Raw genomic sequence first — 22,294 nt, 5'->3', positions numbered from 1 at the left:
AGTTCCAGTTCAGCCCCCTCTCGCCTCCGTCCCTCTCTACCTCCATCCCAAGAAAAACCGGTACAGAGGGTCTGGTGCAGGGTAGGCTGGGGCAGGCTCTGTGTGTGTTGGAGTGGGGAGCGGAGGTTGTACAGACAGAGGTGTGGGATCACAGGCTGACTGAACCCGGAAGAATTCCAGACCCCCCTTTGCTAGTTGCAGGTGCAGATTAACAACAGCAGGTGTGCCAGGTGGGGCTCACAGTCAACCCAGGTGAGCTGGACCACGTGAGAGTTGAACCATAGGACTGGGCCACCAGGAGGTGGGGTGCCTCTCCAGGGAAGAGGGGAGCAGGTGGGGGGGAGGGGCTGGGCCTTTTCGCAGTGTGCCCCCCTCCCTCTCCCTACACCCAGAGAGATGTGACAGCACCTGAGAGGCGAGGACAGGGCCACACAGACCCCCTTATTTCTGTGACCCTCCTGAAGCCCTCACACCAACAGTGTCTGTGTTTGCTGAAGGCCACCAGCACTCCAAGAATCCCAGCTGGCAGGCTTTTTTCTTTTTTTTAAATAAATGTTTTTGTGTATATTTAAGGTAGACAACCTGATATGATGGGATTCATATAGATAATATAGATAGCACAAAGGTTCCTATAGCGAAGCAAGTTAACATATCCACCATCTCTCATAGTTACCCTTTTTTTTTTTTTTTTTTTTTTGTGGCAAGAGCAGCTAAAACACACTCATTTTGCATGAACTCCAAATACGAACAGTGCACGCTGATGGCCTGCAGTCCTCTGCCGTGCTTGGCTCTCTGGACGGTTCATTCTACATGGCTGCTGCTTTGCGTCCTCTGACCTCCCCATTCCCTATCCTGAACCCCCCAAACTCCTCTTCACTCAGACGGCGGGTGCTCCTGTAGAGCGGCAAGGCAAGGATGGGGCTCTCCAGGGGACCCTGCCAGTCCTCCATCTTCTGGTCACCACCTTGACAAAGCAGTGGAGACTCAAGTCAGGCAGGCTCACCTCCCAGCCATCCCCTCCCGAGGCGTCTGAGAGTGTTCGTTTGTTTTGAGACGGAGTTTTGCTCTTTTTGTCCAGGCTGGAGTGCAATGGCACGATCTCGGCTCACTGCAACCTCCACCTCCTGGGTTCAAGTGATTCTCCTGCCTCAGTCTCCCGAGTAGCTGGGACTACAGGTGCGCACCACCACGCCCGGCTAATTTTGTATTTTTAGTAGAGACGGGGTTTCTTCATGTTGGCCAGGCTGGTCTCGAACTCCTGACCTCAGGTGATTCGCCTGCCTCAGCCTCCCAAAGTGCTGAGATTCCAGGCATGAGCCACTGTGCCCGGCCTGCCTCTGGGAGTTTTATGGTGCCAAGCACATCAGTGCCCCAGCAGAAGAGACATGAGGCTTACTCACCCCACTAAATGAAGGCTGTACCCCATTTTACAGAAGGAAAAACTGAGGCTCGGCGAGGTGACATGGCTCACCCACGAGTCTGGCTTCTGGAAAGAACAGACTTGGTAGAAGTGAGATGGGAAAGTGCCAAGGACAGACTCCTGGTAGAGCCACGTAAGGGCCTGGGCCACGGGCAGAGGATGAGAACCAGGACACGGCAGTGTCTCCCAAACAAAGAGAGATGAGTTCACAGAGGCAGGGCTGGCCACCACCAAAGCCAGACAGGCAGAGCACACAGGCCTGTGGTGCCTGCACTCAGACACTACAAAGGCCTTGGTCACTTTACATGTTAGTAAAGCCATGGCCTTGGAGAGGGGACCCTGGGAGGCTGGGCCCCAGGCTCTTGCCACCACCTCGGAAAGACTGCCCAAGGTGGTTCTCACAGAAGGCAGGAGCTCCTGGTCCACCTTGGTCTCCTGGAGGCATCATCCCTGCAATCCCTGCTCAGACCCCATAAAGAACTTAGGAGACTGCCCTCCCAGAGGCCAGCAGACTGTGTTACAGGGCACCTGGGAGCACTGGTCAGGGTCCGATAACGCCTTGAATGTGTAAGCCTCAGTAGGCACATGGCACACAGTAGGTCCTCATAAACACCTTCGAGTCATGCGTAAGCGGTGATGGCCGCTCTTTGCCCTGGCCACAGCCCTGCCCTGCAAGCCCCACCACCTGAGCTCTGCAGCCAGGGCCCGGTTGGACCTCTCAGGCCATCAGCAGCTCTCCCTCCTCCCTGCATCGAGCACCCATTTCCTACCTGGCCCACGTGGTCCAGCCCAGCATCCTGGAGGTGATGGCCGCAGTGGAGGCAAGGCTGCCAACCAGCACGATGGTGGGTGCCCTGGGCAACCCTCCTGGGAGGGGGCGGAGGCAGCTGGGTTGGGCTTCCTTTAGGCAGGGGCCAGGGTGGGCATGGTTGCCTCCTGTGCCCTCTCTGCTCTCAGCAGTGGCCGGGTAGAGCTGTCCCACTTCCCATCGACCTGTGTCTTGGACACTAGCACCCTCCCGGCACAGAAGCGCCAGCTGCCCCTCTGGAAATCCAAGGGCCCTCTCACCTGGGGGCACCACTGTGAGGGCGCTGTGCTGGACATTGGCGTTGTTTGCAGCCTGGCACCAGAACCAGTCCGATGTCTGGCTCGGCAGGAAGGAGAAGTTGGCAGGCTGCCTGTGGCATGGTCTCTGCTGCAGGTGGACCTGCCCATCCTTCCCGATCAGGCTGTTGGTGATAGGTGGGCTGCCCGAGGACGCCTGGCAGATCATCTCCACCCTGGGGCCTGCCCCTCTGTCCTGCAGAGTGAAGTTGGCCCGCAGCTCAGACACTGGCTCTGGCAGGGTGGGAGAAGGTAGCACAGGCATGGCTGAGCGGTTTTAAACCCCTCCTCCTCAGTAAGTTCTCCTCATTACAAAATGCCTAATGAGCTTAGCTGTGGCTGCCGCCTCCTCCAGGCCGCCTTCTAGAGTTTGCCCTCCACCTTGTGTCTGGGCTGCTGCCCTACCTGCCGTGTGTACCACACAATTTCACATTTGGTTTTTATCTTATTCTTACTTTATTTTGAGACAGGGTCTTGCTCTGTCGCCCAGGCTGGAGTGCAATGGCGCGATCTAGGCTCACTGCAACCTCCGCCTCCCCAGCTCGAGCAATTCTCCCATCTCAGCCTCCCGAGTAGCTAGGACTACAGGTGTGCACCACCACATCCAGCTAATTTTTGTATTTTTTGCAGAGATGGGGTTTCACCATGTTGGCCAGGCTGGTCTCAAACTCCTGGGCTCAAGCAATCTTCTGCCTCAGCCTCCCAAAGTGCTGGGATTTTAGGCGTGAGCCACCGTGCCCGGCCTGGTTTTATTCTTGTGTAGCGTATTTCAGATTGCCAGACTTAGCAAATAAAAATACAGTTAAATTTTCATTTCAGATAAACAATGAATAATCTTTTACTATACGTATGTCCTATGTAAAATTTATCTGGCAACTCTATCATTCAGTCTCGTCTTTTTTACTGAAAGGCAAGCTACTTCAGGACAAAAACTGTCATGTAGAAGATTCTAGAATCCCCCAGGCCTTGAGCCTAATGCTCTAGACATTCTTACTGATGAGTAATCACCACCACACTTGCCACCTACTAAAAGGCTTTCATTTAATAGGTCCCCTGAAGTAGGACCTATTATTATTTTAGAGACAGGGTCTCTGTTGCCCAGGCTAGAGTGCAATGGTGTGATCACCGCTCACTGCAGCCTCCAACTCCTGGGCTCAAATGATCCTCCCACCTCAGCCACCCAAGTAGCTGGGACGACAGGCATGCACCACCATACCTGATTAATTTTTTAAAAAATTGCTATTGGCTGGGTGCAGTGGCTCACGCCTATAATCCCAGCACTTTAGGAGGCCTAGGTAGGTGGATCACTTGAGGTCAGGAGTTTGAGACCAGCCTGGCCAACATGGTGAAACCCCGTGTCTACTAAAAATACAAAAATTAGCCGGCATGGGGGCAAGGGCCTGTAGTCCCAGCTACTCGGGAGGCTGAGGCAGGAGAATCGCTTGAATCTGGGAGGCGGAGGTTGCGGTGAGCCGAGATCGTGCCACTGCAGTTCAGCCTGGGCGACAGAGCAAGACTCCATCTCAAAAAAAGAAAATAATTTTTTTGCAGACACAGAGTATCACTCTGTGGTCCAGGCTGGTCTCAAACTCTTGGCTTCAAAGGATTCTCCCACCTTGGCCTCCCAAAATGCTGGGAATACAGGTGTGAGCCACCTCACTGGCCTCTGTTATTATTTTCCTTTTGCAGATAAAGCAGTTGAAGCTCAGCGGTCCAATGAGTTGTTCAAGACCCCAGCCAGTAAGTGTAGGGATTTGAACCTTGGACCCGTTGGGCTGCAGATCCTGGGCTCATCTCCCCTAGGCTGTCTTTTCCTGGTGTTCTTAGGGTGCGGGCCAAAGGATGAATGGGGCGATTCCTTGTCCCACCCTAAGTCGGGCAACACTTCCTGGTTCCCATACCCCATAGCTCCCACCAAGAAGGTTACCTGAGTTACTATCAGGATGGAAACAGGAAGAAGGCAGGGTTTGGAGCTGGACAGAGTGGGGTTTGAAAGCAGCCTTGGCCACTTGCCAGCCATGTGGCCTGGGGCGACTTTTTTTTTTTTTTTTTTTTGAGATAGTCTTACGCTGTCACCCAGGCTGGCATGCAGCAGCACGACCTTGGCTCACTGCAACCTTCATCTCCTGGGTTCAAGTGACTCTCTTGCCTCAGCCTCCCCAGTAGCTGGGATTATAGGTGCCCACCACCACACCCAGCTAATTTTTGTATTTTTAGTAGAGATGGGGTTTCACTACGTTGGCCAGACTGGTCTCAAACTCCTGAGCTCAAGTGATCCTCCCGCCTGGGCCTCCCAAAATGCTGGGCTTATAGGCGTGAGCCACCACACCCAGCCCCTGGGGCAACTTTCTTAACTCCCCAGAGTTTTAGCTTACATAGCTATAGACCCAGAGGCTCAGACCCCACCCCTGACACTGCTGTGAAGATCAAGCGAAGTAATGCACAAAACGTGCCTAACTTTTTTTTCGTTTCTTTTTCTTTTTTTTTTTTTTGGAGACGCTCTGTTACCCAGGCTGGAGTACAGTGGCGCAATCTTGGCTCACTGCAACCTCTGCCTCCCGGGTTCAAGCGATTCTCCTGCCTCAGCCTCCTGAGTAGCTGGAACTACAGGTGCACCCCGCCACGCCCAGCTAATCTTTGTAATTTTAGTAGGAACAGGGTTTCGCCATGTTGCCCAGGCTGGTATCGAACTCCTGGGCTCAAGCGATCAGCCTGTCTCGGCCTCCCACAGTGCTGGGATTTGCGCCCAGACAAACGTGCCTAGTTTATCACCTTGAGGTCCGAGCTGACAACTGGGGCCCAGTCATTTCTGCCACCATCGGGCTCTTTCCCTCTGTGCCCTCAGGCCCCTGCCAGGAGACTGTGCCCTCAGGGCCCCAGCCAGGGACAGCAAGTCCTGATTAAAGGCCCCAAGGGACTGAGAATGGCCTTGGAGGTGGCAGCCTGTCCTTGTCCACACCCTCACACCCTGGCTCTCTCTAACCCCAGCAAGGTTCACAATCCCCACTCCCAGAGCTCCCCATTGATCTGCACCCCACCTGCCTCCTCAGCCCTGTGCCCCCCACCGCACTCACTGGACCACAGCTCCCAGTGCATCTGTAGCCTGGCACTGTCCACATGGGCACCTGAGGTGGAGGACGCCCAGCAGAAGTAGGTGAGCAGGTCTGGACTGGACTTGAGTGTGACGTTGAGGTTGAAGGAGGCCGGCTCGTGGGTCTTCACCACCTTCTTGGCCACCTTGATGTTCTTGGTTCCACAGAGGGAATAGGTGATGGGCGGTGGTGGCTGGGGTGCACAGCAGGTTATGAGCACCCAGCGGCCTTTGGGGAAAACTTCCAGGACTTTGTAGGCAATGGAGACCACAGGGGTAATTTCTGGGAGATGAAAAGGTCCAAGGAGGAAGAAAGAAACCGACATTGATCAAGCACCTTAAGAAGGTACTGGTTTGGCCAGGCTCGGTGGCAAACACCTGTAATCCCAGTGTTTGGGAGGTCCAGGTGGACGGATCACTTGAGGTCAGGAGTTCAAAACCAGTGTAGCCAACATGGTGAAAGTCTGTCTCTACTAAAATACAAAAATTAGCCGGGCGTGGTGGTGCCCACCTGTAATCCCTGCTACTCGGGAAGCTAAGGCAGGAGAATCTCTTGAACCAGGAAGGCGGAGGTGGCAGGTGGCAGTGAGCCGAGATCACACCACTGCACTCCAGCCTGGGCGACAGAGGGAGACTCAGGAAAAAAAGAAAAAGGATGCTGGGTTTAGCATGTTCTCTCTCTCTCTCTCTTTTTTTTTTTTTTAGATGGAGTCTTGCTCTGTCACCCAGGCTGGAGTGCAGTGGCGCGATCTCTGCTCACCACAACCTTCGCCTCCTGAGTTCAAGTGATTCTCCTGCTTCAGCCTCCCGAATAGCTGGGACTGCAGGCGCGTGCCACCACGCCTGGCTAATTTTTGTATTTTTAGTAGAGACAGGGTTTCACCATGTTGGTCAGGCTGGTCTCAAACTCCTGACCTCGTGATCCACCCGCCTTGGCCTCCCAAAGTGCTGGGATTACAGGCGTGAGCCACCGCGCCCGGCTGCAATTTACTTCTATAACAAACCTGCACATGTACCCCTGAACCTAAAAATTACAAATAAATAAGTGAAACCAGTAGACCTCAGAGTAAAGAAAAAAGAAAGAAAGAAAATACTGATTTAGTGGTTCCTCAAAAAGTTAAACAGACTTACCATATGACTCAACAATTCCAGGCCTAGACATACACCAAATAATAGAAAACAGGGACTCAAACAGATACCTGTACACACACGCTCATGGCAGCGTGATTCACCACAGCCAAATGGTGGAAACGGCCCAAATATCTATCAATGGACGAATGGGTAAATAGAATGTGGTTGATCCATATAAGGAATATTACTCAGCCTTAGAAAGAAATGAGCACAGATGCAGGCTGCAACAGGGATGAGCCGTAACAACATTCCACTAAACAAAAAGGCAGACGCAAAGGGCAACGGTTGCATGATTCCATGTGTGTGCAAAGTTCAGAACAGGAGAACCCACAGAGACAGAAAGCAGATTGGTGGTTACTGGGGCCCAGGGGAGGGGGAAATGGGGAGTAACTGCCTAATAGATACGGGGTTTCCTTTTGGGGTGATGAAAATCTCTCGGAACTAGATAGCGGTGGTGGTTGAGCAACACTATGGATGCACTAAATGCTGCTGAATTATCACTTTTTTTTTTTTTTGAGACAGAGTCTTGCACTGTCGCCTCCCGTGTTCAAGAGATTCTCGTGCCTCAGCCTCCAGAGTAGCTGGGATTACAGGCACCCACCACTACGCCTGGCTAATTTTTGTATTTTTAGTAGACATGGGGTTTCATCATGTTGGCCAGACTGGTCTTGAACTCGAGACCTCAGGTGGTCTGGCCACCTCAGCCTCCCAAAGTGCTGGGATTACAGATGTGAGCCACTGCGCCCGGCCCACTTTTATTTATTTATTTAAAGACAGAGTCTTGCTCTGTCGTCCAGAATGGAGTGCAGTAGCACGATCTCAGCTCACTGCAACCTCCACCTCCTGGGTTCAAGCGATTCTCCTGTCTCAGCCTACCATGTAGTGGGGACTCCAGGCATGCACCACCATGCCCAGCTAATTTTTGTATTTTTAGTAGAGACGGGGTTTTTTCTTTTCCTTTTTTTTTTAAATCATATTAAACTTGTAGTTTTATTCAGGTTTGATTTTAACAAATGTGTCGGGGAGAGAGCCTGCAGGGAAGGGTAAAGCCCGTGGGGGCAGGGCTCTCCCAGATGCCTGAGGAGGGGGCAGGTCCCCTCCCCTCTCCTCCTCTTCCCTCCCCATCTGAAGGGGTTTGGGGAGAGACACAGGCAGGGGACGGGGCTGGTCCCCAGTCTTTTGGGGTGGTGCTCAGGGCTATGGGTAACAGGGGACCAGACCAGGGATGAGTGGGGAGGGCACAAGGACCATTTGCCAGAATCCACTGCTTTCTGATTCCAGATTGAATTAAAAAACAAAAACAAACAAACAAAAACTAAACCACAAGCAGCACCCACCCCCTTCTCCCCGAGCAGGGCTGTAGTGTGAGGGGGAAGAGGAGGGCAGCTTCCCCAAAGCCACGGCTTCGCTTGCTCCTGGCCAAGGGAGCTAGGTGAAGGGCAGGGGCTCCCCCAACAGATTGAGGTGATGCAAAAAACCAAAATAAAACATCAAATAAATTGTGTAGGAGGAGGCCGGGCGCGGTGGCTCACGCCTGTAATCCCAGCACTTTGGGAGGCCAAGGCGGGTGGATCACGAGGTCAGGAGATCGAGACCATCCTGGCTAACACGGTGAAACCCCGTCTCTACTAAAAAATACAAAAAATTAGCCGGGCGTGGCAGTGGGTGCCCGTAGTCCCAGCTACTCGGGAGGCTGAGGCAGGAGAATGGCATGAGCCCGGGAGGTGGAGCTTGTAGTGAGCCGAGATGGTGCCACTGCACTCCAGCCTGGGCGACAGGGCGAGAATCCATCTCAAAAAAAAAAAATGTGTAGGAGGAGTCCAGCAGCCTAGGACCAGGGCAGAGCCAAGCCAGCCTGGGGGAGGGGGCCTCTTGGGAGGATCACTGCTGCCACCACCGCCACCCTGGGAGCCTTGATTGCAGCAGCTGCCTCCTCGGTCATGGCAGACAGCACCATGATCAGGATCTCTTCTCCACAGCTGTACTTCTGCTCAGTCTCTTTGCCAAGGTCTCCCTCATGCAGACGAAAGTCCTCTCGCACCTCCATGCTGTCCTGGAGCAGTGATAGGTGCCCATCCTGGATGCCAATCAGCTGGAAGTCATTCCTTTTGATGCTGGGGACATCCATGTTATGAGTTGACAGGCAGATATCTCCATATTTCTTCCCAGTAAAGATGTCAGTACCAACCAGGTGGACCTTGGCATGGCCGTGCTTGCCAGTCATCGAAGTAGACATCTCGACGATCTTACGTGGCCGGCCTTTGAGTACCACAAAGCCATTCTTTTTTTTTTTTTTTTTTTTTTTTTTCCGAGACAGAGTCACGCTCTGTCGCCCAGGCTGGAGTGCAGTGGCACAATCTCGGCTCACCGCAAGCTCTGCCTCCCGGGTTTACGCCATTCTCCTGCCTCAGCCTCCAGAGTAGCTGGGACTACAGGCGCCCGCCACCACGCCCGGCTAATTTTTGTATTTTTAGTAGAGACGGGGTTTCACCATTTTAGCCAGGATGGTTTCGATCTCCTGACCTTGTGATCCGCCTGCCTCGGTCTTCCAAAGTGATGGGATTACGGGCGTGAGCCACCGCGCCCGGCCTACAAAGTCATTTTTACACAATGCTGAGGACTGCATTGGGAAGGTCGCTGAGGCCCTGCATCTCCTGTCTCGAAGTCCAAATCATCTGCCATTTTAAGAGGCTTCGATTCCAACTCGCACGAACTCACTGACTCAACCCTGTCCACTGGCTGTGAGCCTCCGAGCCCACCGCCGCCGCCGCCGCCGCTGCTGAACACAGGTCTTAGTACGCAGGCACCTGAGATGGGTTTTCACCGTGTTGGCCAGGCTGCTCTTGAACTCCAGACCTCATGATGCGCCCGCCTCGGCCTCCCAAAGTGCTGGGATTACAGGTGTGAGCCACCGTGCCCGGCCTAAGTTTTGTATTTTTAGTAGAGACGGAGTTTCACTATGTTGGTTAGGCTGGTCTTGAACTCCTGGCCTCAAGTCATCCACCCACCTCGGCCTCCCAAAGTACTGGCATTACAAGCGTGAGCCACCGTGCACGGCCAATTATCACTTTTAAATGGTTGACTTTTTGTTATGTGAATTTCACCTCTAAAAAAAGAAAATATTAGAAAAAGGGCTACCTCCTGGGTTTAGGCTGTTTCTTTCCAGAATATTTTTCTATATAAACAAAATGTGTCCAGGCACGGTGGCCACTGCGCCTGGAATCCCAGCACTTTGGGAGGCTGAGGTGGACGGATTGCTTGAGCCTCGGAGATCAGCTTCAACAACACAGTGAGAACTACTCTAAAAATAAATAAATAAACAAAATTAGCCAGGTGTGGTGGTGCTCGCCTGCGGTCCCAGCTACTCCAGAGGTTGAGGGGAGAGGATCACTTACTTGAGCTTGGGAGACTGAAGCTACAGTGAGCTATGATCGTGCCACTGCACTCCAGACTGGGTGAAAGAGTGAGACCCTGTTTCTAAAAAAATTAATTAATTAAAAGGACTTTTGAAGAATGCGAGGCTCCTGCAGGAGACCAGCCTGCTCACGGCACCCAAAGTGCTCTTCTCCCTAGACCCAGATCAAAACCAGCCCGTCAGCGCATTCCAGCAGGCCTTCACCCACCTACGCCAGGTATCTGCTTTCTGCTTGCGAGTGACTTCTCTGTTTTGGAAGCAAATCCTGGAGTCAATTTCATTGTGGAAAACATCTCTGAGATCTTCCTAGTGGGCCTGATGCTGTCTTTGCTGATTCTTTTTTTTTTTTTTTTTTTTTTCTGGAGAAGGAGTTTTGCTCTGTCACCCAGGCTGGAGTGCAGTGGTGCAATCTTGGCTCACTACAACCTCCGCCTCCCGGGTTCAAGTGATTCTCCTGCCTCAGCCTCCCAAGTAGCTGGGACTACAGGTGCCCACAACCACACCCAGCTAATTTTTGTATTTTTAGTAGAGACTGGGTTTCGCCACATTGGCCAGGCTGGTCTCGAACTCTTGACCTCAGGTGATCCGCCTGCCTGGGCCTCCCAAAGTGCTGGGATTACAGGTGTGAGCCACTGTGCCTGGCCATTACTGATTCTTTAAGACAGCAATTGGGATTAAACAAAAATGTTTCTGGAATAGGGGTTTGAGGGAGAGGGTTGTATTATACCAATGGCGGGGACCTGTTTGCATTTCAACAATAGTGTGTAGGCCGGGCATGGTGGCTCACATCTGTATTCCCAGCACTGTGAGGCCGAGGCAGGTGGATCACCTGAGGTCAGGAGTTCAAGACCAGCCTGGCCAACATGAAGAAACCCCGTCTCTACTAAAAATACAAAAATTATCTGGGCATGGTGGTACATGCCTGTAATCCCAGCTACTCAGAAGACTGAGGCCAGAGAATCACTTGAACCCAGGAGACAGAGGTTACAGTGAGCCAATATCCTGCCATTGTACTCTAGCATGGGTGACAGAGCAAGACTCCGTCTCAAAAAAAAGAAAAAGAATAGTGTGTATCAGGTGGGCACAGTAGCTCAGGCCCGTAATACCAGCACTTTGGGAGGCCAAGGCGGGAGGATTGCTTAAGCCCAGGGGTTCCAGACCAGCCTAGGCAACATAGTGAGACCCCACCTCTATTTAATCGAAAGAAAAATTAAAAAGAAAAAAAGAATACTGTGTGGTGGGGCAGTGCTTGGGGGAGGGGTAGAAAGAAGGGTCTGTGAAATCTGAATATCATCGACGTCATGAATTGCCTTTGCTCGGCTGGGCATGTCTGCTCTGGAAACCACCCTGCAATGAGGAAACTGCTGATTGAGCAGAGAACTGGAATAGACTAGAGTGTGTGACCACTAAGCATGTTTCATTCTAGACCAGTAACTCTCAACCAGGAGCAATTTTGCCTCCAGGGGAACTTTGGGTCTGGGGACATTTTTGGTTGTCAATATTGGGAGATGGACTAGCTTGGGCAACACAGCAAGACCCCATCTCCACAAAAAAAAAAAAAAAAAAATAGGGGTTGCTGCTGACATTTAGTGGGTAGAGGCCAAGGATGTCGCAAAGCATCCTACAGTGCACAGTCAGCCCCCACCGCGAAGAATGGTCTGGCCTCAAATGTCAGGAGTGCTGAGGTTGACAACTCTGGTCTAGACAACCGGCAGCAGCCTTCTAGAATCAGGATGTCTTCCCCTGCCCAGGGCTGCACAGACACCAACAATTATTTTCTCATCTGTGCCCCTTTGAAAATTTCATGATAACTCTCCTTTTTATATTTATTTATTTATTTATTTATTTTTGAGATGGAGTCTCACTCTGTTACCCAGGCTGGAGTGCAATGTCGTGATCTCGTCTCACCACAACCTCCGCTTCCCAGGTTCAAGCAATTCTTCTGCCTTAGCCTCCTGAGTAGCTGGGATTACAGGCATGCGTCACCATGCCTGGCTAATTTTGTATTTTTAGTAGAGACAGGGTTTCTCCATGTTGGTTAGGCTGGTCTCAAACGCCCAACCTCAGGTGATCCACCTGCCTCAGCCCCCCAAAGTGCTGGGATTACAGGTGTGAGCCACTGCGCCCCACCTATTTATTTTTTTGAGACGAAGTCTTACCCTGTCACCCAGGCCTCAGGGCAGTGGTGTAATCTTGGCTCACTGCAACCTCTGCCTCCCGGGTTCAAGCGATTCTCCTGCCTCAGCTGCCCGAGTAGCTGGGATTACAGACACATGCCACCACGCCTGTCTAATTTTGTATTTTTGGTAGAGATGGGGTTTTACCAAGTTGGCCAGACTGGTTTCGAACTCCTGACCTCAGGTGATCCACCCACCTTGGCCTCCCAAAGTGCTGGGATTACAGGCATGAGCCACTGCACCCAGCCAGACTCTCCTTTTTAGATGGGGAAGAATACTTTTTTTTTTCAGGCCTGGCACAGTGGCTCACGCCTGTCATTCCAGCACTTTGGGAGGCTGAGAGGGTGAATCGTTTGAGGCCAGGAGTTCAAAGCCAGCCTGGGCAACATGGTGAAACCCTGTCTCTATTAAAAATACACAAATTAGCCCGGTGTGGTGGCTCGAGCCTGTAGTCCCAGCTACTCGGGAGGCTGAGGCATGAGAATCACTTGAACCTGAGAGGTGGAGGCTGCAGTGAGCGGAGATTGTGCTGCTGTACTCCAGCCTGGGTGACAGAGTGAGACTGTGTCTCAAAAAAAAAAAAAAAAAAAAAAAAAGAAGGAATACTTTTTTTTTTTCCCTAAACAGGCTTTCATGGAAAAATCTTCGATTTGAAGAAAGTGAAGGTGTATCTGGAGGTGAAGGCACCCTCTGGGGCATCCTCTTGCAGATGCCTCTGCTGATTCTTTAGTCAATTTGACCCTCAGGGCCAAGAGGCCTTCTCTTCATGGTCCAGAAACTATCGCAGGGGCCAGAAGCCTGCCTCACGTGGGGAAGTGGGCGTCCAGGGCTGACACGCGATCACCCTTTCTTTTTGTTCCCTTTGCGAAGGGAAACGATCTTGACTTACAAAAATGGAAAGAAAAACTTCTCTCTCTTCATTTCCATTTCAGTCTTCATTAATAGAAGCTTGATTTGCATAAATTCACAGACAGGAACCATTTTGAAAGTACACTGTACCAGGGACATTCACTTTTTTTTTTCTTTTTTTGAGACGGAGTCTTGCTCTGTCGCCCAGGCTGGACTGCAGTGACACGATCTTGGTTCACTGCAACCTCCGCCTCCTGGGTTCAAGTGATTCTCCTGCCTCAGCCTCCCGAGTAGCTGGGATTACAGGCATGCACCACCACGCCCGGCTAATTTTTTGTATTTTTAGTAGAGCTGGGGTTTCTCCATGTTGGCCAGGCTGGTCTTGAACACCTGAGCTCAGGAGATCCACCCCCGTCGGCCTCCCAGAGTGCCGGGATTACAGGGTGAGCCACCGTCCCCGGCCGCACACTCACTTTATATCCTCTCAAGACTTGTGTGGTTTTTTCCTTTTGATTATTTAGTTTATGGATCAGCCTGCCAATAAAGGATGGTCTATCATTTTTTTTTTAATTTATTTTTTTCTTTGAGACAGGCTCTTGCTTTGTCTCCCAGGCCTGAGTGCAGCGGCACGATCTCAATTCACTGCAACCTCTGCCTCCCTGTTTCAAGTGATTCTCCGCCTCACCCTCCTGAGTAGCTGGTATTACAGGTGCATGCCACCATGCTTGGCTAATTTTTGTATTTTTAATAGAGATGGGGTTTCACCATGTTGGCCAGGCTGGTCTACAACTCCTGACCTCAAGTGATCCACCCACCTCAGCCTTCCAAAGTGCTGGGATTATAGGCGTGAGCCACCCGCCTGGCCTATCATTTAATTCAAAATTCTTCTGCTTGTCTGGGTGTGGTGGCTCACTCCTATAATCCCAGAGCTTTTGGAGGCCTAGGCAGGGGGATCCCTTGAGCCCAGGAGTTTGAGACCAGCCTGGGCAAAAAAGCAAGATCCTGTCTCTAAGAAAAAAAAAAAAAAAATTGGCTGGGTGCAGTGGCTCATGCCTATAATCCTAACACTTTGGGAGGTCAAGGTGGGTGAATCACTTGAACTCAGAAGTTCGAGACCAGCCGGGCCAACATGGCAAAACCCCATCTCTACTAAAAATACAAAAATTAGCTGGGCATGGTGGCATGTGCCTGTAATCCCAGCTACTCAGCAGGTTGAGGTGGGAGGATCTCTTGAACCTGGAAGGTGGAGGCTGCAGCGAGCCAAGATTGCACCACTGCACTCCAGCCTGGGTGACAAAGTGAGACCCTGTCTCAAAAAAAAAAAAAAAAATTAAGCAGGCATGGTGGTATGCACCAGCTACTCAGGAGGCTGACATGGGAGGATGTTTGAGCCCAGGAGGTTGAGGCTTTAGTGAGCTGTAATCGCGCCACTGCACTCCAGCCTGGGTGACAGAGCGAGACCCTGTCTCAAAATAAGTAAGTAAATAAATAAATAAATAAATAAAATTCATCTGCTCTGCAAGAGCATTTAAATAATGGGATGGCACACTCAAAATTTGATAAAGTGACGACAGGGCTGCCCTCGGGACAGGAAGCTAAGCCAAGCCCAGGCTGGGCACGGGGTCACTGCAGGGAAACTGTGGAGGGCTCATGTCCAGGCCCGGACATGGTGCTGGTGCTCTGAGTGACTCCAAGGCCCTTCCAGATTGTGCTACCCCTCTCCAGACTGGTCTCTGTGACAACAGGAAGCTTAGAAATTCCAGTCCCAACCCTGGAGGTTGCAACTCATTAGACCTAGGGAGGGGCTCTGAGATCTGACTTTGAATAAGCCGCCGTCCGTTAAGGGTTGAATTATGTCCTCCAAAAAGATAGGTTCCAATGGTGACTCCCAGGACCTGCCCATGGGAACATATTTGGAAATCAGGTTTTTACAGATGGCTCCCCCTCTCTCATGTTAAATATTAACTCCAGTAATTCATGCTGGATTAGGGTGGGGCCTGAGGAGAAGAGGAAAGGAGACTCAGACACACACCGGGAGAATGGCATGAGGGAGGCAACCCCCAGAAACCAGGACAGGAGCCAGGAGCAGGTGCTCCCGCGGGGCCTTGGGAGGACCCAGCCCTGCAGACTCTGAGTCTTGGAATGCAGCTTCCAGCACTGTCAGAGAATGTGTTTCCTTCCTTGTTGGTGTTGTTTTTTGGTTGTCTTTTGTCTTTTGCTTTTTTTTTTTTTTTTTTTTTTTGAGACAGAGTCTTGCTCTGTCGCTCAGGCTGGAGTGCAGTGGCACGATCTCGGCTCACTGCAACCTCCGCCTCTGGTTTCAAGCGATTCTTGTGCTTCAGCCTCCTGAGTAGCTGGGATTACAGGCACACACCACCATACCTGGCTGATTGTTGCATTTTTAGTAGAGACAGGGTTTCCGCATGTTGGCCAGGCTGGTCTGGAACATCTGACCTTAGGTGATCCGCCCACCTCGGCCTCCCAAAGTGCTGGGATTATGGGCCTGAGCCATTGTGCCTGGCCTTGTTTGTTTTTGTTTTTGTGAGACAGAGTCTCACTCTGTCGCCCAGGCTGCAGTGCAGTGGTGCCATCCAGGCTCACTGCAACCTCCGCCTCCCGGGTTCAAGCGATTCTCCTGCCTCAGCCTCCTGAGTAGCTGGGATTACAGGCGCCTGCCACCAAGCCTGGCTAATGTTTGTATTTTTAATAGAAATGGGGTTTCACCATGTTGGCCAGGCTGGTCTTAAACTCCTGACCTCAAGTGATCCGCCTACCTCGGCCTCCCAAAGTGCTCGATTACAGACGTGAGCCACTGTGTCCGGCCTCCTCTGTGCCGTTTGGAGTGTAGGCTCAGCCGGAATCAAAATCCCCTGTATCCTCAACCTTCCAACCAACACCCTCCATCCTCTACATCTAATGGAAACCAGATCCCTCCTTCCCAGAGCCCTGTCTACCCCTTCAGGTGTCCCAGGCGATGTGGATCCCGGCAGCCTTCATGTCATGGGGCTAGGACAAAGGGGGACAACACCTTCTTGACATTTCCCCTTCCCTAAACTTTTCTCCCCTCTCCTTGCTAAACAGCAGTTATGTCTTCAGATACATTCCACTCTGTCTTCTGGGTTACAATTATCTACCAACACCTATCCCTCCTTGAAGATGCCTGTCCATGGTTCCTACCATGCTTAATGCTATACTTGCCAGAATTCTTGGGGATTTCAAAACACACTGGCACAGTGGCTCATACCTGTAACCCCCGCACTTCGGGAGGCTAAAGAGGGAGGATTGCTTGAGGCCAGGAGTTCAAGACCAGCTGGGCAAAATAGGAAGACCCAATTGCTACAAAAAAATTTGAAATATTAGGCCAGGCAGGGTGGCTCATGCCTGTAATCCCAGCACTTTGGGAGGCTGAGGCGGGCAGATCACTTGAGCTTGAGTCTGAGACGAGCCTGGCAAACACAGCAAAACCCTGTCTCTACAAAAAATACAAAAATTAGCTGGGCATGGTGGTGCATGCCTATAGTCCCAGTTACTCTGGAGGCTGAGGCGGGATGATGGCTTGAGCCTGGGAGATGGAGGTTGCAGTGAGCCGAGTTTGTGCCACTGCATTCCAACCTGGGCAACATGGCAAGACCCTGTCTCAAAAAAAAAAAAATTAGCTTCCGGGCGTGGTGGCTCTCGCCTGTAATCCCAGCACTTTGGGAGGCCAAGGTGGGCAGATCACGAGGTCAAGCGATCAACACCATCCTGGCTAACATGGTGAAACCCCATCTCTAGTAAAAGTACAAAAAATTAGCTGGGCGTGGTGGCATGTGCCTGTAGTCCCAGCTACTGAGGAGGCTGAGGCAGGAGAATCCCTTGAACCTGGGAGGTGGAGGTTGCAGTGAGCCGAGATTGCACCACTGCACTCCAGCCTGGGCGACAGAGCGAGACCCCGTCTCAAAAAAAAAAAAAAATTAAATTAAATATTAGCTGGGTGTGATGGCGTGTGCCTGTAGTCCCAGGTACTTGGGAGGCTGGGGCAGGAGGATTGATTAAGCCCTGGCGGTTAAGGCTGCAGTGAGCGGTGATTGTGCCACTGCACTTTAGCCTTGGTGACAGAACGAGACCCTGTGTCTAAAAGCAAAATGGAACAAAACAAAAAGCCAACCTACGCAGAGATCATCTTTCGAATATCCTGATCCCTCAGGTCCTTCACGTGTACCCAGCTTTCCACTCCCACTGAAGCTGTTTCAGCTGCATAATATGCCATCTCCAGGCTGCACTTTATTTAGCCAGTCCTTCCAGATGGGCCAAGGACTGGCGCCTTTTTTTTTTTTTTTTTTTTTTTTTTTTTTGAGGCAGAGTCTCTCTCTGTTGCCCAGGCTGGAGTGCAGTGGTGCGATCTTGGTTCACTGCAACCTCCGCCTGCCGGGTTCAAGGGATTCTCCCACCTCAGCCTCCCGAGTAGCTGGGATTACAGACGTGCGCCACCACGCCCGGCTAATTTTTGTATTTTCATTAGAGACTGGGTTTCACCATATTGGTCAGGCTGGTCTCAAACTCCTGACCTCAGGTGATCTGCCTGCCTCGGCCTCCCAAAGTGCTGGGATTCCAGGCGTGAGCAGCTGCGCCCGGCTTGGCGCCATCTTTCATGGCTGTCCTCATCCCATCCCATCCCATGCCATCTGCCAGCAGCTGCTGCTGGCCTCCAGAATGTATGTCCACCCCATCTCCCTGCCTCTCCCGCATTGCCCAGTCTCTCCTCTGGATCCCGAGTAGCCTAATGGCTCTCTTGGATTTTGCCTTTGATCTCCATCCACACAGTGTCCAAATGACCTCGGCCAAGGGTAAATCAGATTGCGTTTTCCCCTCCAAACCTCCTATGGCTGCGCCCCACAGGGCCCTCCCCGGCCAACCCCACACCATGCCTCTGACCTCATTCAATACCCTTTGCCCCTTGCTTCCTGTGTTCTGGCCACACAGGGTCCCTGCCCAGGTACTTCCTGCTCGGTCGGCTCCTTCGGGTCCTTGCTGCACGGCCCCTTCCCAAACTCCACCCTCCCCTGCAAATGCTGCCCTCCTTCCCCTACCTACCTGGTGTTCCCTTTCCTTCTACCCTGCTTGCTTTTCTCTAGAACATTCTAACTAACATACCTTAGAATGTGCTTTTTTTGCTCTGCCACCCAGGCTGAAGTGCACTGTTAATGATTACGGTTCACTGCAGCCTCACTTCCCGGACAAGCAATCCTCCCACCTCAGCCTCCCGAGTAGCTGGGACAACAGGTGCACCGCCCACCATGCCCAGCTAATTTAAAAAAATATTTTCTTTATACAAAAAAATCAGCTGGGCATGGTGGTGCATATCTGTAATCTCAGCTACTCAGGAGGCTGGGTGGAAGAATCCCTTGACCCCAGGAGGCAGAGGTTGCAGTAAGCTGAGATCGAGCCATTTTCTTTTTTTTTTTTTAAGAGATGGGGGTCTCACTGTGTCGGTCAGGCTGGTCTTGAACTCCTGGGCTCAACTGATCCTTTGGCTACAGCCTCCCAAAGTGCGGGATAACAGGCATAAGCCACTGAATGTTCTTATTTTTATTATCATCTGTCCCCCCAACCCCCACTAGAATGTAAGATACAGGAGGGGTTTGTTTCAGTGCCTTGCCACATTCTCAGGGCCTGGAATTGTGCCTGCAACCAAACAGGTGCTCAAGTATTTGTTGAATGAATAAATGATTTATCAGTCAGTCTCTTAGGAGTTTAGTTAGCAGGACTTGGTTGGCAAGAATCAGAGAAGTCGGGAGCCAGCCAAGAGGGGGAGGCGGAACTGCCCTGCACAGGTACTTCCCGGAGCCCCAGCTGCCTGCTCTCTTTTTAGCAGCCACACCAACAATGTATCCGTTTTTAAAGCAAATGAGGAAATAATGGTTCAACCTGGGCCTCATTCAAGTGAGAATGGCGTCATCATTACCCTGTACCTGCCCTTTAGCAAAATAGAGGGGGAAGGCCCTGCTCTGTAACCTGATGGCCTAGCAACAAGGGGCAAGGGTTAGTTGGGACAATATAGGGAGGTGACTGTCCATCCTCACCTTAATGGACATGAGGGGAGGGGAGGGAAGGATGGGGCAAGAAAGTGCAGGCAGAAAGATGGAGCAGGCAAAGATGAGGAAGCAGGCCAGGCTAGGGGCTGTCAGGGACCTTCCCCAGCGTCCCCTCCTCCCTGGTCCTGTACCCAGCTGGGTCCCAGACACTCTCCACTCCCCACCTGCCTCTATAAGGAAGGCAGCCTCGTGTATGTCAGGCCCCTGGGGGAGCCTTAACTTCACCATCCTCTCACGGCCCTCCTCCTGGTCAGAGAATCCCAACCTCCCAGGCCCCACCAGAATTCCCCAGCCCTCCACGGGGCCTCGCCCACCGGGCAGAGCTGTGAGGGTCTCAGGGGGGGCTTCTGCTCCCGATCAGGGACCTGGGGCAGAGTGATGAGGATGCACCTGCCCAGGGAATCTTCCCTCCAAACAGCCCAGCCAAAGGCTGGAAGCTGAGCAACTTCCCTGCCTGTGTGCCCCGGAGGTCCCCACACTGGCCTGCTTGGCCTGCCCATCTCCATCACTCCTAGGGCCCTGCAGGGTGAAGAGAGTGTTCCAGAACTGTCCAGCCATCCTCCAGCACACACCTCCCCACTAGTAACTCCCTTCCCAGCCGAGGCGCCCTCCACCATGGGGGTTCTGACACCAGGGTCCCAGCTGGGGGACTTCTCCCTGCAGCAGGCTATGCCACTTACCTTCCTCCCGTGCCTTGGAGAAGCTGCTGGCAGCTGTAAGAGAGGTAAGGGCGATAAGGAGAGGGCCTGGTGTGGAGGGGAGACCAGAGACAGCCTCGAGACCCACCTGCTGAAGCCAGGAGGGAGGAGCAGGCTGATTCTTGGTAGTGAGGCCCCAGGACTCAGCTGGCACCATCACTCACAAAAGCTCTTTTGCGCCCCTCCCCCCACAACATCGCCTCTCATCCGCCCATTTCGCAGATGGGTAAGTAGTGAGCCCAGAATGGTGCAGAAATCCCTGGACCACATATACAGCAAGTTTAGGGGCTGGTCCGAGACTCAAGCCCAGATCTTTCCCTCTCTGTCCATGTTTCCAGAGGTGCCCTTCCTTCAGGCCTCATCTCTCCTGTGCTCCCAGTACCCCCACCTGAGCCCAAGACCTCAAGGCCCCAGCAGCAGCCCCACCATCACGTCCCTGGTGGACTCACCCAGCACGGCCAAGCAGAACAGCCCAGGGAGCCCCATGCCTCGGTGGGTGTAGGGCCTCTGCTCGGGCAGTGAGAACCTCCTAGTTCCTGGCCTCCCCCACCCTGAGGCCCCTGGGATGCTCCCTGGGTGGGTGCCTGCAGTGGGGAGATAACCTGGAGGCCGCAGCACCCCAGGGCCTCAGCTACCAGGGCGGGGCCCAGAGAGCCCCGGCAGGCCCGGTACAGCAAACTCCCCCTCAATCCCCAGAGAAGTGGAAGGAGTTTGGACCTTGAAGCCAGACCAGGGCTTAGACTCAGCAGTCACCTCTGAGCCGCAGGATCCCGGGCTCACGTGGTGGGCAGAAGGTGTCCATGCTCCGCGGGGCACAGTGGCTCACACCTGTAATCCCAGCACTTTGGGAGGCCTGGATGGGCGGATCACCTGAGGTCAGGAGTTCGAGACCAGCCTGGCCAACATGGCGAAACTCCATCTCTACTAAAAATCAGCCGGGCGTGGTGGCGTGCGCCTGTAATCCCAGCTACTCGGGAGACTGAGGCAGGAGAATTGCTTGAACCCAGGAGGCGGAGGTTGCAGTGAGCCAAGATCACGCTACTGCACTCCAGCCTGGGCAACAGAGTGAGATTCCATCTCAAAAAAAAAAAAAAAAAAAAAGATGTCCACGCTGTAACTTCTGGAGCCCGTGAGCACCATGCTACGCGGCAAGGGGAATGAAGGCTGTGAGTCTTCTCATTTTGAGAGGAGGAGCCCGTCCTACATGACCCAGGTGACCCTCATGTAATCACTGGGGCCTTTCCAAGCAGCTGGGGACCTGCTGGGCTGAGAAAAGGCAGCCCCACCCATGATGGTTCACAGCCGGGAGGCCAAGGCTGCACCCAGCCCCAGAATGAAACCCCAGACCGACGAGGCCCCTGGTCCTGGAGTGTGATGGGTCCTGGAGTCCTGGGTCCCGGAGCGTGGTGTGCCCAAGCACCGCCCTTCAGAAGTCCCTCAGGCCCCACTGAGGGTGGTGGGAGGTCACATGGATGGTCATTCCCCAGGGAACTGGCCCCAGTGCTGGCCTTGGCCAGCAGCAGACCCAGCTGCATCGCAGGCAGTGTGTGTGCAGAGTTCAGCCACAGAGCCTCCTGCACATGCAGGGAGGGTGGGGGTGAGCAGGGCCTCCCAGAGCCCCGAGGCCAGGGCTGGGGCCAGGCATTCCCCGGAACACAGAGAGATGTAAGGGCGCAAGGGATTGAGGCTGGGGCCCTGCCAGCTCCGCTGTGGGCCACTGCACCCGGCTTTGTGCCCAAGCTCAGCCTGGGGCTGCTGGACCAGCCTGTCACTTTCTGGCCCGGCTCAGTTTCCCACACTTTGTGTGGGGAATGCCTTTTCTGGCTGCCTCCTTCAGGAATATGTCCCCTGCCACCAGGTGACCATTGCCTCCTGTGGGAGCTGCTGCCACCTGTGGCTCCTGACCGGTCAATCACACTCTCTGCCCCTGGGCACCGTCCAGGAGTGAACACCTGACCAAGGGAGGCCACTCACAGCCCCGGCCCAGCTCTCCTCTCAGCCTTTCCCAGGCACTTGCTGCACCGGAGGCCTGGGTGTGTTGGGAAGCTGGTCTGAGGGAGTGGCCCTGCTGACCAGGGAGTGGCCAGAAGGATGGTGGGGAGGCAGGTGCAGGTGTCCTGGAGGTCACTGCAGACTGGCTCTGTTGACCCCTCGGTGGCCCCCTCTCCCAGCTGGCATGAGTCCGTTTCTGCACCTTGCTACCCATGGTCCCGGGGATGGAGGCTGCCTCCTGTGCACCCACCGGCCTCTCTGTTTTCGGTTTCTCCCAGCTGGGGAGCAAGAGCATTTTCTCTTAGTTTCTTAGTAAAACTCCCTTCCCTTCCCAAAGTCTGTT

The 22,294-nt window shown here is 53.1% G+C and overlaps 1 protein-coding gene and 1 pseudogene across 12 annotated transcripts, besides 12 other annotated features; both read right to left on the bottom strand.

Annotated features, from left to right (window-relative positions):
• Positions 1 to 555: 555 nt before the first annotated feature.
• C17orf99 (chromosome 17 open reading frame 99) lies at positions 556 to 21,282 on the bottom strand. Of its 12 annotated transcripts, none has more exons than XM_047435058.1 (6): positions 20,713 to 21,264; positions 19,942 to 19,974; positions 5,599 to 5,898; positions 2,489 to 2,758; positions 2,191 to 2,287; positions 556 to 964 (listed from the first exon to the last, which is right to left on the bottom strand). In XM_047435058.1, the coding sequence occupies exons 1-6, from the start codon at positions 20,876 to 20,878 to the stop codon at positions 958 to 960; spliced, it is 873 nt and encodes a 290-aa protein (XP_047291014.1). In that variant the 5' UTR covers positions 20,879 to 21,264; the 3' UTR covers positions 556 to 957. The 12 variants fall into 12 exon arrangements, with proteins under 12 accessions (XP_047291014.1, XP_047291016.1, XP_047291017.1 ...); XM_047435060.1 differs by lacking the exon at positions 20,713 to 21,264 and adding an exon at positions 20,409 to 20,468; XM_047435061.1 differs by lacking the exon at positions 2,191 to 2,287 and having other exon boundaries at positions 2,489 to 2,720; positions 20,713 to 21,271.
• Positions 2,292 to 2,792: an enhancer, noted in NCBI's record as "H3K4me1 hESC enhancer chr17:76160142-76160642 (GRCh37/hg19 assembly coordinates)". NCBI's record gives its function as "activates a minimal SCP1, AML or CMV promoter by ChIP-STARR-seq in naive H9 embryonic stem cells {active_cell/tissue: H9 hESC(naive)}" and the evidence as "EXISTENCE:reporter gene assay evidence [ECO:0000049][PMID:30033119]".
• Positions 6,424 to 6,473: a silencer, noted in NCBI's record as "silent region_9049". NCBI's record gives its function as "represses an Ori minimal core promoter by ATAC-STARR-seq in GM12878 lymphoblastoid cells {active_cell/tissue: GM12878}" and the evidence as "EXISTENCE:reporter gene assay evidence [ECO:0000049][PMID:35858748]".
• Positions 6,514 to 6,563: a silencer, noted in NCBI's record as "silent region_9048". NCBI's record gives its function as "represses an Ori minimal core promoter by ATAC-STARR-seq in GM12878 lymphoblastoid cells {active_cell/tissue: GM12878}" and the evidence as "EXISTENCE:reporter gene assay evidence [ECO:0000049][PMID:35858748]".
• Positions 6,784 to 6,943: an enhancer, noted in NCBI's record as "active region_12870". NCBI's record gives its function as "activates an Ori minimal core promoter by ATAC-STARR-seq in GM12878 lymphoblastoid cells {active_cell/tissue: GM12878}" and the evidence as "EXISTENCE:reporter gene assay evidence [ECO:0000049][PMID:35858748]".
• EIF5AP2 (eukaryotic translation initiation factor 5A pseudogene 2) lies at positions 7,718 to 9,494 on the bottom strand (annotated as a pseudogene).
• Positions 7,984 to 8,083: an enhancer, noted in NCBI's record as "active region_12869". NCBI's record gives its function as "activates an Ori minimal core promoter by ATAC-STARR-seq in GM12878 lymphoblastoid cells {active_cell/tissue: GM12878}" and the evidence as "EXISTENCE:reporter gene assay evidence [ECO:0000049][PMID:35858748]".
• Positions 8,428 to 8,929: an enhancer, noted in NCBI's record as "H3K4me1 hESC enhancer chr17:76154005-76154506 (GRCh37/hg19 assembly coordinates)". NCBI's record gives its function as "activates a minimal SCP1, AML or CMV promoter by ChIP-STARR-seq in naive H9 embryonic stem cells {active_cell/tissue: H9 hESC(naive)}" and the evidence as "EXISTENCE:reporter gene assay evidence [ECO:0000049][PMID:30033119]".
• Positions 11,219 to 11,598: an enhancer, noted in NCBI's record as "active region_12868". NCBI's record gives its function as "activates an Ori minimal core promoter by ATAC-STARR-seq in GM12878 lymphoblastoid cells {active_cell/tissue: GM12878}" and the evidence as "EXISTENCE:reporter gene assay evidence [ECO:0000049][PMID:35858748]".
• Positions 12,419 to 12,488: a silencer, noted in NCBI's record as "silent region_9047". NCBI's record gives its function as "represses an Ori minimal core promoter by ATAC-STARR-seq in GM12878 lymphoblastoid cells {active_cell/tissue: GM12878}" and the evidence as "EXISTENCE:reporter gene assay evidence [ECO:0000049][PMID:35858748]".
• Positions 13,945 to 14,521: an enhancer, noted in NCBI's record as "H3K27ac-H3K4me1 hESC enhancer chr17:76148413-76148989 (GRCh37/hg19 assembly coordinates)". NCBI's record gives its function as "activates a minimal SCP1, AML or CMV promoter by ChIP-STARR-seq in naive H9 embryonic stem cells {active_cell/tissue: H9 hESC(naive)}" and the evidence as "EXISTENCE:reporter gene assay evidence [ECO:0000049][PMID:30033119]".
• Positions 14,522 to 15,099: an enhancer, noted in NCBI's record as "H3K27ac-H3K4me1 hESC enhancer chr17:76147835-76148412 (GRCh37/hg19 assembly coordinates)". NCBI's record gives its function as "activates a minimal SCP1, AML or CMV promoter by ChIP-STARR-seq in naive H9 embryonic stem cells {active_cell/tissue: H9 hESC(naive)}" and the evidence as "EXISTENCE:reporter gene assay evidence [ECO:0000049][PMID:30033119]".
• Positions 17,512 to 18,011: an enhancer, noted in NCBI's record as "H3K4me1 hESC enhancer chr17:76144923-76145422 (GRCh37/hg19 assembly coordinates)". NCBI's record gives its function as "activates a minimal SCP1, AML or CMV promoter by ChIP-STARR-seq in naive H9 embryonic stem cells {active_cell/tissue: H9 hESC(naive)}" and the evidence as "EXISTENCE:reporter gene assay evidence [ECO:0000049][PMID:30033119]".
• Positions 19,226 to 19,445: an enhancer, noted in NCBI's record as "active region_12867". NCBI's record gives its function as "activates an Ori minimal core promoter by ATAC-STARR-seq in GM12878 lymphoblastoid cells {active_cell/tissue: GM12878}" and the evidence as "EXISTENCE:reporter gene assay evidence [ECO:0000049][PMID:35858748]".

The sequence above is a fragment of the Homo sapiens genome, chromosome 17 (genome assembly GCF_000001405.40).
Source record: "Homo sapiens chromosome 17, GRCh38.p14 Primary Assembly".
Taxonomy (NCBI): Eukaryota; Metazoa; Chordata; class Mammalia; order Primates; family Hominidae; genus Homo; species Homo sapiens.
Note: the sequence above shows the minus strand (reverse complement) of the source record. Positions and strands in the feature narration are given on the sequence as shown.

What these genes read in the sequence shown, in the direction of transcription:
- C17orf99 (XM_017023997.2), bottom strand. Translation starts at nt 20,878, where the DNA reads ATGGAGTTTCGCCATGTTGGCCAGGCTGGTCTCGAACTCCTGACCTCA. An exon ending in CGGGATCCTGCGGCTCAGAG is followed by an intron (nt 19,975 to 20,712) that starts GTGACTGCTGAG and finishes CCTCTCTTACAG; the next exon opens with CTGCCAGCAGCTTCTCCAAG. An exon ending in GCACTGGGAGCTGTGGTCCA is followed by an intron (nt 2,759 to 5,598) that starts GTGAGTGCGGTG and finishes CCACCCTGCCAG; the next exon opens with AGCCAGTGTCTGAGCTGCGG.